The 17,019-nt window shown below is 36.8% G+C and overlaps 1 protein-coding gene across 14 annotated transcripts in view; it reads left to right on the forward strand.

Annotated features, from left to right (window-relative positions):
• The window catches only part of POLA1 (DNA polymerase alpha 1, catalytic subunit), a 303,069-nt gene that overhangs the window by 110,896 nt on the left and 175,154 nt on the right, over positions 1-17,019 (forward strand). For all 14 annotated transcript variants that reach the window (NR_165483.1, NR_165482.1, NM_001440806.1 and 11 more), the window contains 5 exons: positions 5,085-5,117; positions 5,895-5,987; positions 7,845-8,050; positions 10,166-10,298; positions 16,639-16,770. Coding sequence is in view for 12 of the 14 variants with exons in the window: in NM_001440806.1 (NP_001427735.1) it covers positions 5,085-5,117; positions 5,895-5,987; positions 7,845-8,050; positions 10,166-10,298; positions 16,639-16,770 (597 nt within the window). In the remaining 2 variants the exon portion in view is untranslated. The remainder of the gene's footprint in view (positions 1-5,084; positions 5,118-5,894; positions 5,988-7,844; positions 8,051-10,165; positions 10,299-16,638; positions 16,771-17,019) is intronic.

The following is a 17,019-nucleotide window of genomic DNA, read 5'->3' on the forward strand; positions in this document are numbered from 1 at the left end:
CAGTATTCTATTTTAACAAGATACAAAGACTCAGGTGTTATCCTGAACTTATTAGGAGAACCTACAAATACACATCTTAGTAGTAGTTGGTCTTAGGTTGTTGCTGTTGTTAACCTTGGCACACACAAAAAACATCTTTCTGCTTAGTAAACCATATCGTGGGTATATTCATGAACACATTATTTTCTTTAGAAAACAATTTTTGATACACATCTAAATTTCCTTTCTAGTTCCCACTACCCTTTTCCAGCTTTCAGAAGCTCAGACTGGGGTTAAAATTCCTTTTCGTATTATTTTAATTATTGCTCTCCCCACCTCCACCCCTTTCCTGTTTCCCCCTCCTCTTTTCCCCTAACGGCACTGTTCTGCAAAGCCTGCAATGATTGATATGATGGCAGTGCTGTCATTCTTTTTAACCAAAAAAAAGTCATTTTTGTTCTAGTTATTTTAATAGAGTCCCATTAAAGATGTATTGCTGACTGAAATATCGGCGTGAAGGGCTCTCACTGAGCTGAGCCCAGGAATTAAGAAGTCAGGAAATCGGCTGCTGCATTGCAAGAGAGCCTTGTGTGACACCGAGTCTCCTGATTGGGGAGATCATTACTGCTATTATGACTCGACTTGCGTAGGAATTTTAAATTCCATCTGAATGTCAGTAATAACCCTCTTAGCAAATTATCCTGAATAAAATCACGAAGGCATTTTATATAATAGGTGTTGAATTACTGGATAGATTTGCTAATTAAATACTCTTTGTTCTGCTGCAGTTGACATTACAGGGTAAGATCTTGAACAATTATTCTCAACAGCTGTACTTTGTTAAGGGAAAAATTAACCACAAAGTTTATTTTTTTATACTTGAAGTTGGCAGATTTTTGAAATGTGCTTGAAAAAATTCCATCATCCAATTGGTAATGAGTAGATAAATATGCAGGTGTTGCTGTGAAATCAGATAACTGCAGACTGCCTTATTAATGAATTTAGCAAGCCTTTATAGCCCTGTTTTCTAGCCGTTAGCACTTACAAAATGATTTTCTGTCAGAATGGGCAGCTTTAATATTACACTTGTCACTTCAAAGTGAACTTATGAATGGTCATCTTGTAATCATTGTACCTTGTGTCTAGTAGACCTTTCTGGGTACTTGTGGCTATTTTTAAAATGTGTTTCTTCAATGGGGAAAATACCTGTAATGTATAAGTGTTTGATTGTTGACTTCTAGAACATTTATGTGGTATGAGGTTTTTTTTTTTTTTTTTTTTTTTTTTTTTTTTTTTTTTTTTTTTTTTTTTTTTTTTGAGAAGGTAGTGAGACATAATGAAAAGAAAGTGAAACATAAAGTCCAGCTTCTGGATCAAGCTTTTGGGCAAAATCTCAGAGCCTAATTTTCCTCATTTGTCAGTTGGGATTTATAATACTGTGTACCCCTTAGGATTATTCACTTAGCATTCTATAAATATTTATTAACAGCTCCCATGTACCAGGCCCTCTGGTAGATAGTAAGAATTTGGTAGCTCCCTGAGTAGATAACATCTGAGCCCTCCCCAGTGAGCAGTTTGAATTGAGGGCTGGACTTGAGGGCAGCTTTGGAGTGTTTCTGCTCATTAGCACTTGGATAAGCATTGGACTAGAGAGGTCACTGTGATACCCACCATCTAGAACTGCTTAGTGAAGAAACATGAGAGGTTAGGGGTCAGACTGGTTGTGGGTTGTCTTGTATAGAATGGGCTGAAGAGTTGACAAACTGTGGTGAGGACCTTGAACCTGAGATGGAACATTATCATCAGCTGCTAGTGAGGCCCACTGAAAAGATGGTGAGGTCCACAGAAATCGGTACAACCTCTATAGAGAGCTATTGGGTTATATTTATTTTAAAAATTTGAAACATAACAACCTTTGACCCAGCACACCCACTTGTAGTAATTTATCTTGTTACTGGCAGATTTGTAAATTACGTATGTATAGGGATTGTTTGTTGAAGTATGGTTGTAACAGTAAAGAGTAGAAACAACCTATATGTTCATTAATAGAACACTAGTTAAATAGATTATGTTCTATTTATACAGTGGGGTACTATGTAGTCATTAGAAAAGAATAAGGCAGCTCTTTATGTGTGAATTTGAAATAACCTCTAGGATAAGTGCTAGGTGAAAAAAGCAGTTGCGGCATACTCTATAGTTTACCATTTCTGCAAAAAAAGACATCCACCAAAAGATTTCTGCCACCAAAGAGAAAATTGTTTTGGTAGCAGTCCTCAGGTTATGCATGGCAATGGTTGTGAGTTGGTGGCAGGATGGAGTAGGGGTGGATGATGGATCTGAAAGGTGAAGGTTGCCAGTTCACATTGAAGGTACACTCAGGGATGACATAGTAGATTTGGTTCATGTTGTGAAACAAGAGTAGAAGAAATTGGTTATTGAATATGTGGAGTTGTAGTAAAAGGTTGACAAACTGCTCCTCAGGTATTTTATTGAGGTAACAGTTACGTTATGGTGTTGTCCATTGTGATGAAGAAAGCTAAGCCTAGCTAACTGTAAGAGGCAGAGGGTAAAGAGGACTCTTGATAAGTAATTCTGTCCTCACTGTGATTAATTTGCCTTGGGTTGGTCTCATTATTGCCCTTTCCCTAAAGGAATTGTCAAATATTCTCCCACAATGCATTTCCCTATAATTTAAATGTTAAAAAATGAAGATGAAGTTGGGGAGAGTGACTGTTTTTTATGTTAGCTGAATTTTAGTGTCTAGTGGAAAAGTAATTGGGATTACTACAGGACCTATCAGTCACCTGGCAAACAGTTTTTTGAGTTCCTATTACAGTGAAGTCTGCACTTAGGCACAAACATGTGGTCTGACCTCCAGGAGCTTGTAGTCTAGTTTGGGGTGGGTAGGTGGGAGCTAATAACGTAAAGCATCATTCAAGTACTAGTAAAATAATTCAAACACAGATGAGAGGAGAGAGACAGGTATGGGCTGGGCCAGTCAGCTCATGCAGGAAGGATTTGAGCCGAGGGTTGTAAAATTCAATGATAGGAAAAGGACTGGGGAAGGAATTCCGGGTAGGAGACACACTGCATGAGTGAAGGCATGAAAAGATGAGTCTGTACACAGTTAACTGTTGGAAGACTGGGAGATTTATTCTGTCCAGCAAGAGGATCTATGTAAAAGAATAACAGGCCATACAAGTGGAACAGTGGTTTAGGTGCAGTTGCAGAATTTGTTCTTGACCTTGTAGGCATCGGAGAGGCATTGAAAACATTCAGGAGATTGGTAATGATATTCAGGGTGAGTTGATGAGACCTAAAGCCAGTAGAGACGCGAGTTGGTTCATCCTCAGTGACAACCTCATTGCTATGGAGTCAGGCGCTTTCCACCTTGCAGCCGGCCCTGCTCAGCATGTTAGCTTGCACCCTAGGCATGGCCCTTCATGGCCACCGTGATGGTTGCCACTGCTCCAAGCAGCCCTCAGTCTAAAAAGGTAGTCCCCCACCGCCTGCCCCCTCAAATCAGGAAGGAAAACCTTTCAGAGAAGCATCCTACAGGAATTCTCCTTACGTTTAATTGGCCAGGATTCTGTTCACATGCTCACGCCTAAACTGATCATAGTTTCCAGAATGGAATTGCCATGATTATCTTAGGCCAATGGTCCTTAAGCCAGCTTGCAATGTAAGAAAATGTAAGAAAACTGTTGGGGCCAGATATTGTTTGTTTTTTTTTTTTTAAGATCCCCAGGTGATTCCACTGTACAGTCAGTATTAAAACCACTGGCTTAGCCTCATCAGAATTCACCACCATTCACCACCCCCCAGGTAGGAGAAAGGGCTTCCTTGTCTAAGAACATAATATTAATACAACGAACATCTGAACAAAACTGGGAGATAGTAATAAAGGGGAGAGGGCAATAAAAAATGGAAAGTAATGGGTAGATATAAAAGATACTCTAAAGACAGGATTTACAAAGCTCTGTAATAGGGAAGACGAGAAAGAAATGACACCATGAAGCTTGAGCTTAGTTGACAAGGAGGACTATTGAAGTAGGAGAAAGAAATATAAATGAAGTAAATCTTTATTTGGTCTATTGGAAAGGTGACCTCAGCTTTAGGCTGATGCTTTGAAAGATGGGTGATAGCAGAGAGGCAATAGCATGGAGTGACTAAGACCCCATACTCGAGTCAGAATGCTTGGGTTCATATCCTTGTTTTGTCATTCTAGGACACTAATTTCTCTTTGTCTTTTGGCATCTAACAAGAGAGGATATTAATAGTAGCTACCCCTTGGAGATCTAGGGGAATGAAATGAGAAAATGCACAAGGTGTTCCTTGCACAGCATCTAGCACATGTATTTTAAACGCCCCCCCCGACACACACACTTTCTCTCTGAGTCCTAATTATGTCATATTACTATTTTTTAAGAGGCTGTTTGTTAAATATGTGTTACTTCTGATCTGGCTCAAAATAATTTATATCAGTTTTTATTTCTATCCACGTTGTAACCTAAATATCTCTGATCTGTAGCTATATGGGCCTGGGGACAGACTTATCAACAGATATCCACGTTCGTCTTAATTCACTGAATGTTTCTTGAGCCCCACCTTTTTACTGGGTACTGGGGTAGCTCCAGGCAATATAGTGAAAATCCATCTACTCTCTTTCTTCAATGAATTTAGTCTAGAGAAGAATTTTAAATGTAGTGTGCTTTTTTTTGCTTTTTAAGATCCTGAATACCATGAATAAGAATTGCCAGATTTGAAATGCTTTGTTAAGCTTTTTTTAGGCATGCAGTTCTATTTAAGTATTAGTAATGAGAATAGTTTGCTTTTTTGCCATGTTATAGAGATATTTTATTGTGTGTGTGTTAAACATATATATGTATATATATGCATGCATATCTCTGGCTCAGAATCAGCATAGAGGCAAACTTAGATTATATTGATGTTACTGTTATTTTAAGGGCTGTTGTTAGAAAACCTTCAAGAGCTTTAGAAATACATGGAAATGGCAAATCATTGAAAGTTACCTATCTCTATGTGCTTCTATTTATGTCTTTATAATTGTGTAACTTATTAATCTTGACTTTTGTTTCATTTAGATTTTGATGCATACGAAAGAGATGGTACAAAAGGTAATGTTGAGCATTTTCATTGTGTAAAACTTAAATATCATAACTGGTAACGTTTTTGTATTCAAGGAAAATTGTAACCCAAACAGACTGGAAATTGCTTCTTAGGTTGCCTAGTTTAACATTTATAATCCTTCCTAATGGATTACAGCTTTTTTCTTTTACCAGTGCTGATATGATCTAGCCCCTGCTTGAAGCCTATATGTGAGTGTTTCAAACAAATTAGTAACAGTGCTAATTAGAGTTTATTTCCAGGCCTTTATACTGTATGTGCTCTAGTGTTGTTTGTTATGATTGATTTTTTTTGGCACTCTTCGTGTTCTACTAAATACTGTTTGCAACTGTATTAAGAATTTAATATGGATTTGTGCCCCTGAATTTATAGAATCCATTATGTTTCCGCTTCTTAAATTGCCATGACCACTAAGCATGTGGTACAGTGGATAAATATAGACCCCATTTCCTAGTCTTTTATTCTCTTTTTTCTCATTATTTAATTTGGTATTTTGTTTCAGTTGAAACTAGACACAATTCTCCTTCCACTCCACTCTCTATTTTAAGAAAATTTGAGAGATTTTCTTGATGTCAGGTTGCTTGCCTTTCTGGTTTATAGGGGCTTAATCTTTAATTGTATACCCTGACAATATAAATAATAATTAACATAAACTTTTGAAAAGTCTGTGGAGCCTGTAATTTCTGTAGTATGGAAAATCTTTAGTTTCATTGTATGTAATGGTCACTGTGTTTTTGTTAATTTTTATAATTTTTGCTTTTCATCAGATGAATCTTGAAGTTATTTATGGAGATACAGATTCAATTATGATAAACACCAATAGCACCAATCTGGAAGAAGTATTTAAGTTGGGAAACAAGGTGAGATAATTTTATGAAATTATCTGCTTTACCTATTTTTGTGAATTCTGTTTCTAACATGGAACACTATAAATTCATGTGTATATGAATGTGTGTGCTTCTGAAAATAATAAACTTGGTGTCTCTCAATTCTTCTATTTTTCTGTCTTTCTTTATTATTTTTTTCTGAGACAGGGTCTCACTCTGTCACCCAGGCTTGAGTGCAGTGGTGCGATCAGGGCTTGCTGAAGCGTTGACCTCCTGGGCTGAAGTGATCCTCCCGCCTCAGCCTCCCGAGTAGCTGGGACCACAGGCACTCGCCACCATGCCCAGCTAATTAAAAAACAATTTTTTTTGTAGAGATTTTTTTTGCCCAGGCTGGTTTTGAACTCCTGGGTTCAAGCGATCCTCCCACCTTAGCCTCCCAAAGTTCTGGGATTACAGGCATGAGCCACCATGCCCAATCCTCTTTTTTTTTTTTTTCGTCTTGTTTTGTTTTGTTTGTTTGTTTTGACACATAGTCTCGCTGTGTGGCCAGGCTGGAGTGCAGTGGCGTGATCTCGGCTCACTGCAACCTCCGACTCCCTGCAACCTCTGACTCCCTGCTTCAAGCAATTCTACTGCCTCATCCTCCTGAGTAGCTGGGATTACAGGCATGCACCATCACGCCCCCCTAATTTTTGTATTTTTGGTAGAGACGGGGTTTCACCATGTTGGCCAGGATGGTCTTGATCTTCTGACCTTGTGATCCACCTGCCTTGGACTCCCAAGTGCTGGGATTACAGGCATGAGCCACCGCGCCTGGCCCCCTCTTGTTTTTAATTCCTATTCCAGCTGTTTGTTTCGAGGGTGAAATTCAAAGGTTTTTTTTTTTTTTTTCTTTAAATGGTAGATACATTTTTCCTTTGAAAACAGTCTAAGTGTTATATGTTTAAGATGTGTTCACGTTAGTACTTACTACATTGTGATTCATATGTCTGGTAGGATTCAGGTGCATTTTATACATAAATACCTACATACATACATATACACTCACAACTGTGATTTTTACAGGAGTACTTAAAATATATTTGAAAAGTCAAGGGGACATTTAAAAATAATCATTTGTAGCCTCTTAATAGCAATTTGCAATCGCAATTCACAGTGTTTTAGAAACACTTGCTATGTTAAGATGTTGTCCCCATGAACTAAAACTAAGATGTCATCTTACAAACTAACAACTTCCTATCTTTCCCTCCTGGAATATGTGGAATTTGAATGGTAGTCTTCACTTGACAGCAAGCCTGGCACATTGTGCTCATACTGGGCCTTGAAAAGTTGAGTATTTTCCCTGGAGGTGATGTTCTGTGCCTTGACCCTGTCAGAAAGAGCAGAGGACTCTTTATTTGTTCAGCATGTAGTTGTTTGCTTATAGTCAAGGTGTTAAGGGAGGTCTTAAACATTATTTTAATAGTCAAAGTTTGACTTCTTTATTTCTGGTCACATATTTAGTTGTTGGACTGTCTATTCACTAACTAACTGAATAGTTTGAAGGCAAGTACTGTATGTATGCATTAAGTCTTTACATTCAACAAGGACTGTTTCATAATTTTCATATATTACCTGGGGCTGATCCAGCCAGTCCTGTCCTTTGGTTGCATGGGATGATCTATTATTGTCTCTCTCTCTCTCTTTTTTTTAATCTATTTTTGTCCCTGCAGTTTTCAATGTCTTTGCTTTATACCCAATGTAATATCATGTTACATACAAGCCAAGTAAAATTCCAATGTTGTATGACTTCAAATTCTGTTTAGATTAACTCTTGGGAATTTGTAACATGTTCATCTTCTCCCTATTAGATGTTTGAGAAGCTAATACTAATATTTGAAATTTTCACAGGTAAAAAGTGAAGTGAATAAGTTGTACAAACTGCTTGAAATAGACATTGATGGGGTTTTCAAGTCTCTGCTACTGCTGAAAAAAAAGAAGTACGCTGCTCTGGTTGTTGAGCCAACGTCGGATGGGAATTATGTCACCAAACAGGAGCTCAAAGGATTAGATATAGTTAGAAGAGATTGGTGTGATCTTGCTAAAGACACTGGAAAGTGAGTTCAGCTTTCAGTTTTGCTTTTCTTGTTTGTCTTTTAAAAATTCAGGTGTGAATGATGTAGAGAATGCTTATGAATCTGTCAAGCCCAAGAACACTTCTTTGTTATTTTTATTATTCTTATTAATAAGAATTATTAATCATTCTTATTTGGAATGGAATTTTATAGGTAGATTAAAACTTAGAAAAAGCCAAATTTGCTCAGTGAGAAATGCCTGCTCTAAGATACGTCTCATGAGTTTTTAACTCATAGTAAGGGTAAACCTTCACACTTCAGATCCTTATAGAGTTGGTTTCGTTGATGTTGGTTTGTTTTGCTCTATTGTTGCTATTAGAAAGTGCCTTGTTTTGTGCTCCTGAATCTTCCTAGAGCCTCTTGAGGGACATAATTGTTAAGATTTTCCCATTTTATGGCTTAAAATGTTCTGGGACTCAAAATGGGCCATGGAGTGAGACTTTGTTCCCACCCGTATGATTTGTATATAAAAGATTCTTACTAATACCAAGTTAAGGGCTCCTTCTCAAATCCTGTGTGTACCTCAGAATTAGTAAATATCATGATTGACCTCCTAGCTTTGCACCTGAGACTGAAGAATGTGATAATAAGGCCTGCTTCTTTAAGGGTCATATTAATGTATAAAGCACCCATTTCAAAATGAATTTTTAGGCCGGGTGCAGTGGCTCACGCCCATAATCCCAGCACTTTGGGAGGCCGAGGCGGGAAGATCACTTGAGGTCAGGAGTTGGAGACCAACCTGCCCAACTTGGGGAAACCCCGTCTCTACTAAAAATACAAGTATTAGCCAGGCGTGGTGGCACATGCCTGTAATCCCAGCTACTGGGGAGGCTGAGGCAGGAGAATCGCTTGAACCTTGAAGGTGGAGGTTGCAGTGAGCCGAGATTGCACCATTGCACTCCAGCCTGGGCAAAGAAGTGAGACGCCGTCAAAAAAAAAAAAAAAAAAAAAAGAATTTTTAGGTGCTTCATGTACCGTCTTAATTTGTGACCTTGACCAATTCTGAAAGTAGAAGAATTTTTTATTTAAAGCTAAAGTTCACATCAATTTTAATATTCTGAATGTTGGCATTTATAAACTTGTTTTCTAGTCTTCCTCTTGCTATCAAGTTGGGAGATTGAACAATTATTGCTTCTGCAAAACTATTCTTGATTAGGCAAAGTTGACCAGCTGAGTATAGGTCACTGTGAGCCTTTTACCAAATGTAAAAATGTTTGAAATGCTTCATTGCCCCCAAGTGTACCCAAAGAGGAAAGTACTTTGTATGGACTGTGGATTAGAGTGTTCTCTTCAGCTTTGTGTTTTCTAAGAAAAGACGCATCATAATAGAAGTAAATTTCTCTTGAGTTAGAAATGTATTAGTAATTAAAGCTATACAAATGTTTTTGTCGGGGTTCTTTTTCTGGCAAATTATAATGCAGCTGTCAAACTCTCGCTCTGCATTTTCTCAGAAATGGATAAAATATTGGCTTTCTTACTCCTTTCCTTTTTCTTTTTCCTTTGGGTCTGGTTGAATAACATGAAGTTTTTAAGGAATAGCGTAAGGGAGAACACTGAGCAACAAAATGAAGGTGAAGAAAGAAAAGTTTGAAATCTTTGTTTTTTAAAAAAATTTATGTAAAGGACTTCATATTTCTACTCATCTAGCGCATGGTTGTTGTCTCAGGTGGAGATGATATCTTGATATCAGAGATAATGTCTTGGTGCTTTGTGAGGAAAGTGAAATATTTGTCTTCTAAAATTTTATCTTATGAGGAGAATATAACTGCTTGTGAATTTTGTAATTGCATAAAAATATAATGGAACACATGCTTTTCTTCACATTTTATATAAAATATTAGCTGCCACATAAAAAATGATCTGTATGTTTAGGGTCAAACCCCACATTAGAAGGCTGGCAAACTTTCGGTAGAGTTGGTGTTAAAAAACAAATAGTAACCGCCTTTTCGACATTAACCCTCATATTAGCTCTTACTGTAGCTAATGTTAACCACATGTTAATCTAATGGCATTTCTCTTCCTTCTTCTCCTTTACTAGTAAAATATATTAAAAAATCAACTGCTGTCTTTGTTTTGTTTTTTTTTTTTTTTTTGCAGCTTTGTGATTGGCCAGATTCTTTCTGATCAAAGCCGGGACACTATAGTGGAAAACATTCAGAAGAGGCTGATAGAAATTGGAGAAAATGTGCTAAATGGCAGTGTCCCAGTGAGCCAGTTTGAAATTAACAAGGTAAATGTAGCATTTATTGCTGAGCCCAGCTGCTGTCATGTGTTTTTCACCTCCTTCAGATAGTTGAAGAACCACCTCATCCTTGCAATTGAAATAAATTCTAGCTGGTGATGAAAGCTGCTTAACAACTATCTCACAGATTGAGTATTAGCATACCTCTTCCAGCCACAGGTACTGCCATGTCTGCCACAGAGACCTTCTCTGTCTAGTCCTTACTTTAATTCTTGGAAGACTTGTTTCCAGAGGTCCTATGGAGTGATACAGTTTACATTCCAGAGGTCCTATGGAGTGATATCACTGTATCACTCCATAGGACTGGAGAACACTACTTTCTTCATAGTTCCCCTAAGTAATAGTTGTTTGGAGTGTAGGCCTGTAAGCTTATTGTGTGCATGTGTGCATTCATGTGTGTGTTTAACTTCACAGATGGTGATTCTTTTGGGGACAAAAGTTATTTAGGGACAGTCTTAGTTGTTGAAAATAGGGAATATTTTTTCTTACCTAATTTGAAAAACAGAATCTTGGTTTCCAAAGTATTGTGTAATAAACAAAATGTTAGGTTACAAATTTATTCCCATTTTAGTACCCTTATATATTCAGAAGCTAATTTTGCAAATACAATGCTACCCATTTTGTGGTAGATTTCGTTGTCAAAGTGCATACAAAAAAAATAAAAGAATCTAATGCTGACAGTAAATGGAAGTTTTAGAATGAAGACTCATTCATAGTACTCTGTGCTAATGTAATGCTTGTCATTTTTGCACATTTCTGTACTGTTGAAAACATTTTTATATTGCAGCAATTACAGTGTTATTTAGAAATATATTTTCATTTAACATAAACATTTTCCCACATTTTTATATTACCTTAAAAATCAAATTAATCAGTGTATTAAAAAGATGTATCTGTTTCACTGATACATCTTTATTTAAATTTGTTGATTATTTAATGTTTTCTATTATAAATAACTCTATTGAACATCTTTGTTTATTTATCTTTTTGCATTTGGATGAATTACTTTCTTATTTTAGGTTCCTTGAAGGAAAATATTTGAGTCAAAAGATGTGAATATCTGTATGGCTTTTGCCAAATTGCTTTGTAAAAGGATGATACCAATTGATAATAGCAAAATATGCCAGTTTCACCACAGTTTTGCATGTAGTGGTGATGATATTTAAATAAAACTTTGCTACCATAATGAATATGAAACTGTATTTCACAGTTGCATTGAATTTGCATTTCTTTGATTCCTAGAAGGGATGAATATTTTCTTACAGTTTATGTTTATTCTTAGGTAAGTTGTTTCCTGTACCTTGACTATGGCATCCTTAATGTCATGAAAGAAGACATTTGTTTATACATTAGAAGGGGACAATGTTTCTTGTCACTGGCTCTCCACTTTAAGTGATGAAGTGTACACATATTGGCATGGAATCACTGTGTCATCTAGAAAGTAGATTCCTTTTAGATTTTGTTTTCTTTCTCAAAAATTTATATGAGTAAGAGTTACGACTTAAGACTTCTTTTGGTCAGTTTTTGCATCAATTCTGCATATTGTATCCCTGATCCTGTCTACCTTCCTAGAAACTTGGGTTTCTATCACAAGGGCTTCCAGGGATGAGTTTGGGAGTGTCAGTCCTAGCATGACTGCATAATTGGCAAAATAACACTGAACACATCTCCTTTAGGGTAGTGGGCCCACACTGTAACCCCCTCATATGAATGATGACACAATATTACTAGTGTGCAAAAAGAAACTTAGAGTCATAGGTATACTGACAGTGTCTGCATTCTTTTAAGTTTTTATTATTGAAATTTCTAGACTTATGTAAAAGTAGAGAGCATGGTATCATGGATCCTCATGTATTCATTAGTCAGCTTCAATAATTATCAACTTATAGTGACATTCTATTATTAACAATAATAGTTAATACTTAGTGTCTAGTATGATAGGGGCTGTGAATAGATTTTTCTGTGGCAGAACTGAAACTGTGACTTACTGTCTTTATATTCTCCATATCACTTAGCATAGCTGTTGGCAAGTAGTAGTTGTTCAGTAAGCATTGAAAGAATTCATTTGCTTATTTAATCATCCATTCAGCAAACATGGAGTACCTCTTATGTACACAATGCTGATTCTGGGATATAAAGTTGAATAAGGAATACGTGGTCCATATTTTCAAGATGCTGGTGGTCTATTAAAAGTATTTACTGTCGGCCGGGCGCGGTGGCTTGTGCCTGTAATCCCAGCACTTTGGGAGGCTGAGGCGGGTGGATCACGAGGTCAGGAGTTCAAGACCAGCCTGACCAACATGGTGAAACCCTGTGTCTACTAAAAAATAAAAAATTAGCTGGGTGAGGTGGTAGGCGCCTGTAATCCCAGCTACTCAAGAGGCCGAGGCAGGAGAATCGCTTGAACCCAGGAAACGGAGATTGCAGTGAGCTGAGATGGCGCCACCGCACTCCAGCATGGGCGACAGAGCAAGATTCCATCTCAAAAAAAAAAAAAAAAAAAGAAAAGAAAAATGTATTTACTGTCCCATTATTCTTAACTTTCATTTAATAGAGAAGAATTTCTGCAGTGTTGATGCAAGTACAGTAAATTCTGATGAAAGGGCTATCTTTATTGTAGTTCTGTATCTATTTACAGTAAGCTATTCATTTGTTAAAGGTGATATATCCTGAACATCTTTAACATTTGTCTAAATGCTTGCACTATTTAAAACTTGTGAGCTATTCAGTTTCTACATTTTACTGCTTCGAAAGGAGAGTGGAATGGAAGAGTCTATGTATGTGACTGGTTGTGGATGGTCTCATGACAATATTTTTTTTTTTTTTTTTTTTTTTAGGTGATGCTGGTAGGGCTTGAAAATGACAGGTTAAATTAGGGTGGAGACATGCATGAAGTGATGGGATTTACCTTTAGAGATTTTAGCCCGTGTTGCCAAAAGCAACTGAAAAACAGCATGTGTGATTTTGCTGAACTACTGCAATCTTAGCTTAAATATATTTCACAAAGTAACACAAAATACTTTGCAGCTGATTTTTATAGCTCTGGCTAACTTGAGCCTAAACCACCAGGAAGCATTTTTTTTTTTTTAAATGAAGCCTTCTAAAACTAGCTTGTAAAGTCCCCAAATAGCCTACATCTAATAATTGGAAAGTATGTCAGCTGAAATTTAGAATTTCTTAACATTGCACTGAAGAATAATCCATTGAAGAAGATAATGGATTTCTTAAGTACTGTTATATCAGTTAAGATTTTTATATTGTATTGCTTGTCCAAGACAATCAAAACTTCACGTATTCCAAGTTTGAGGAGATTCAAATACTTGGGAGAGTTTCCTAGGCACTCTGCTACCCTGAGTATGGAATTTAGTAAGTTTACATAACTTGGGCATGTGCAGCCATGTTTGAGGACCTGCTTTATTCTTCTACATCAGTTCTCAGATTTCTTGGTCTTAGGACACCTTTATACTCTTAAAATAATTGAAGACCCCAAGAGCTCGTGTTGATGTGGTTTATCTCGATATTTAGTGTGTTAGAAATCTAAAAACATTTGTTAATTTATTTAAAAATAGCAACAAACTGATTATATAATTACAACAAATAGCATTTCTTTCTATGAAAAATAGCTATATATTTCAAAACAAAGAAAAATTTAGCCTGAGGAGTGGTATCATTTTACAATTTTGCACATCTCTTTAATGTCTAGCTCAGTAGACGACATCTGGGTTTTCATTTCTGCTTCTGCATACAATCTGTTGTGACATGTGGTTTGGGATGGAGTATAGGAAGAAATCCAGTTTAACCCAAACATGTAGTTAGAAAAAGGAGAAGTATTTTAGTATTTTTTTTCTGATAGTTGAATGTATTCTTCTTTGATCCTGCACCAGACGTCTACAGATGGTATTTTCTTCGTAATGTGGAATCTGAAGCCATATCAATGAACTTTTCCTGTTCTCTTATATTAAAATCTGTTGGTCTCTGTTGTACTTTGAAAGAATATTTTACCCATGCGTGGCATGAGTTGATCATTTGTTAAATGTTGGTTCCCTGAATTATACAGTATACTCCAAAATAGACACATTCATTGTACAATATCAAAAATTACGTTTTAAAATATTCGTACTTATATCAGAAAAGTTTTTAAGTATTGGGAAGCTTTCCGGCTCACAGAAGTAGAAAAGTTTTCTAAAATTCTAATTTGCACTTGAAAGCTTGAATTTTATCATTGACAATATATACTGTCAGATTTTTTTTTTTTTGCCTTGAAGTGGCAGGCTCACTTTTTTTTTGAGAAATTGTCTGCCAGATACCCAAGTCAGAATAACAGTAGTTTGCCCATTATTCTTTCAAGTAAAAATTATATTCTGTGAAAAAGGCAGCTAGTTTAGCTTGCAACTCAAACAGTTGCACAAATGCTTTCCCTTGAGCAATCTTTGTTTTTCAGATGTGCCTTGTGTGTACTTTGTTTTATCTCACAAAATAGTAGACTTGTACTCAAGGGTTGAGAGCTGTTTTTTTTTGTTTTGTTTTATTTTACTTTAAATCCTGGGATACATGTGCTGAACGTGCAGGTTTGTTACATAGGTACACATGTGCCATGGTGGTTTGCTGCACTTATCAACCCGTCATCTAGGTTTTAAGCCCTGCATGGATTAGATATTTGTCCTAATGCTCTCCCTCCCCTTCCTCCCTACTTCCCCGGCAGACCCCAGTGTGTGATGTTCCCCTCCCTGTGTCCATGTGTTCTCTTTGTTCAGCTCCCACTTATGAGTGAGAACATGCGGTGTTTGGTTTTCTGTTCCTGTGTTAGTTTGCTGAGGATGATGGTTTCCAGCTTCATCCATGTCCCTGCAAAGAACATGAACTCACTCTTTTTTATGGCTGCATAGTATTCCATGGTGTATATGTGCCACATTTTCTTTATCCAGTCAGTCATTGATGGGCATTTGGGTTGGTTCCAAGTCTTTGCTATTGAGAGCTTTAAAAATAATTCTTACTGTTTCATCAAGGACATTCTTAAGTGAAAGTGTTTTTTTTTAACTATGCATGGTGGTGAAGAATACAGTGACTGTTAGTACAGTTTGATAGTACCATCCTGATTCATGTTTATAAGGCATCAGCAGTTTTGCCCACTATTGCTTCTGTATCATCAGTACAGGTAGTATCGTTATGAAAATAGTTTTGATCTCTGGACCCCCTGAAAGGATATCAGGAACTCCCAGGGCTCTGCAGTCCACACTTTGAGAACGGGTGAGCTCATCCAGCAGTACCCTGGTCCCCATCCTTTCTCTTGTCTTTTGAAACCTACCCCTTCCAGGGCTGGGTATCCCCCTCCTTTTCTTTATGCATACTGAGTTCCAGTCTAATAGAATGCGTTTTTTTCTCACCTTTTGCCTTTTTGTTTGTTTCTCTGCCTGGAATATTCTTGCCCCCATTACCTTTTCTTAAAATCTTGCTTTTCCTTCTAGTGCCAGCTTAGTTTTTTCTTCCATGATTTCTTCTCTCAGGTGGAAATCATTCTTACCTTTCTAAGTTCTCTCCATAACACTTTGTTCACATCTCCTTTATGGCACATATAGCTTATTTTAGAGGTTTTTTTTTTTTTTGGAGGGGAGGTGGAGGGTAGAGAGTCTTCCACTAATAGCAGATGACTGTGTCTTATTCATCCTGTGGTACTTTATAATACTGGAACAAATTATTCTGAGAATTATTACAGATGGAGTGAAATAATTTATTCCGCAAATATTTGGCTGCTACTGTATATCAAGCATCGTTAGGAACACTGTGCATGCAGTTGTGAGCAAGGCTGACATTGTTCCTGTTCTCGTAGTACTTACTTTCTGTTACAAATTCATTCTACCTCTGTAGAGGTTGATTGACAGCATGAGTAAATCCAGTGATTTCTAGTGCCTTTGGGATTTATTAAGGCCAGAGGAGCCTTTGAGAAACAATCATTAAGTCAGAGTAGCCATTATTCATCAGTCCCAACTGATCAGTTAACTCAGTGAGATAATTGCACACATTAAGACTGCATATAACACTGAATTTATAGTCTTAACTTTTTATGTCTAAGTATCATGTGATATGGCCCATTAACTTATATTTCTTTTTTGTTGGGGTTGCATCTGGTTATGTTAGTTATTGAACAAAGGAGAGAGGAGTCTTGAAGATGGGATGTTTAAAGATTCTGTAGCAATATTTTCTACATACAGCTTCTGTCATTTTTTATGTTTATGTGGCTAGTATGATTCTAGCAAAGATGTTTTTAGTGTATATCTGTGTAAGAAGGGTTTTATTTTAAGGCTTAGAACTTTTTTGTTCCCTCTTTTAGGCATTGACAAAGGATCCCCAGGATTACCCTGATAAAAAAAGCCTACCTCATGTACATGTTGCCCTCTGGATAAATTCTCAAGGAGGCAGAAAGGTGAAAGCTGGAGATACTGTGTCATATGTCATCTGTCAGGTAAACTATTGACATTCGTAAGACTCTGACACCTCTTAAGAACTGAAAGTAAAATCCAAATTACCACAGTGTCTTATTTAGCATTCTCCCCAATAATTGATGTTGTAAAGTCTGGTTAGTTTCATAGCATTTAAAAAACATTAGAGGTGTGGCATATGTCATTAGGATTTTCATAAAACATTTATGACAGATTTGTAACAGTAGCTACTCTTTTAACCCTAAATTAACTTTAATGCAAATGTAAGTTTC

The sequence above is a fragment of the Homo sapiens genome, chromosome X (assembly GCF_000001405.40).
Source record: "Homo sapiens chromosome X, GRCh38.p14 Primary Assembly".
NCBI lineage: Eukaryota > Metazoa > Chordata > Mammalia > Primates > Hominidae > Homo > Homo sapiens.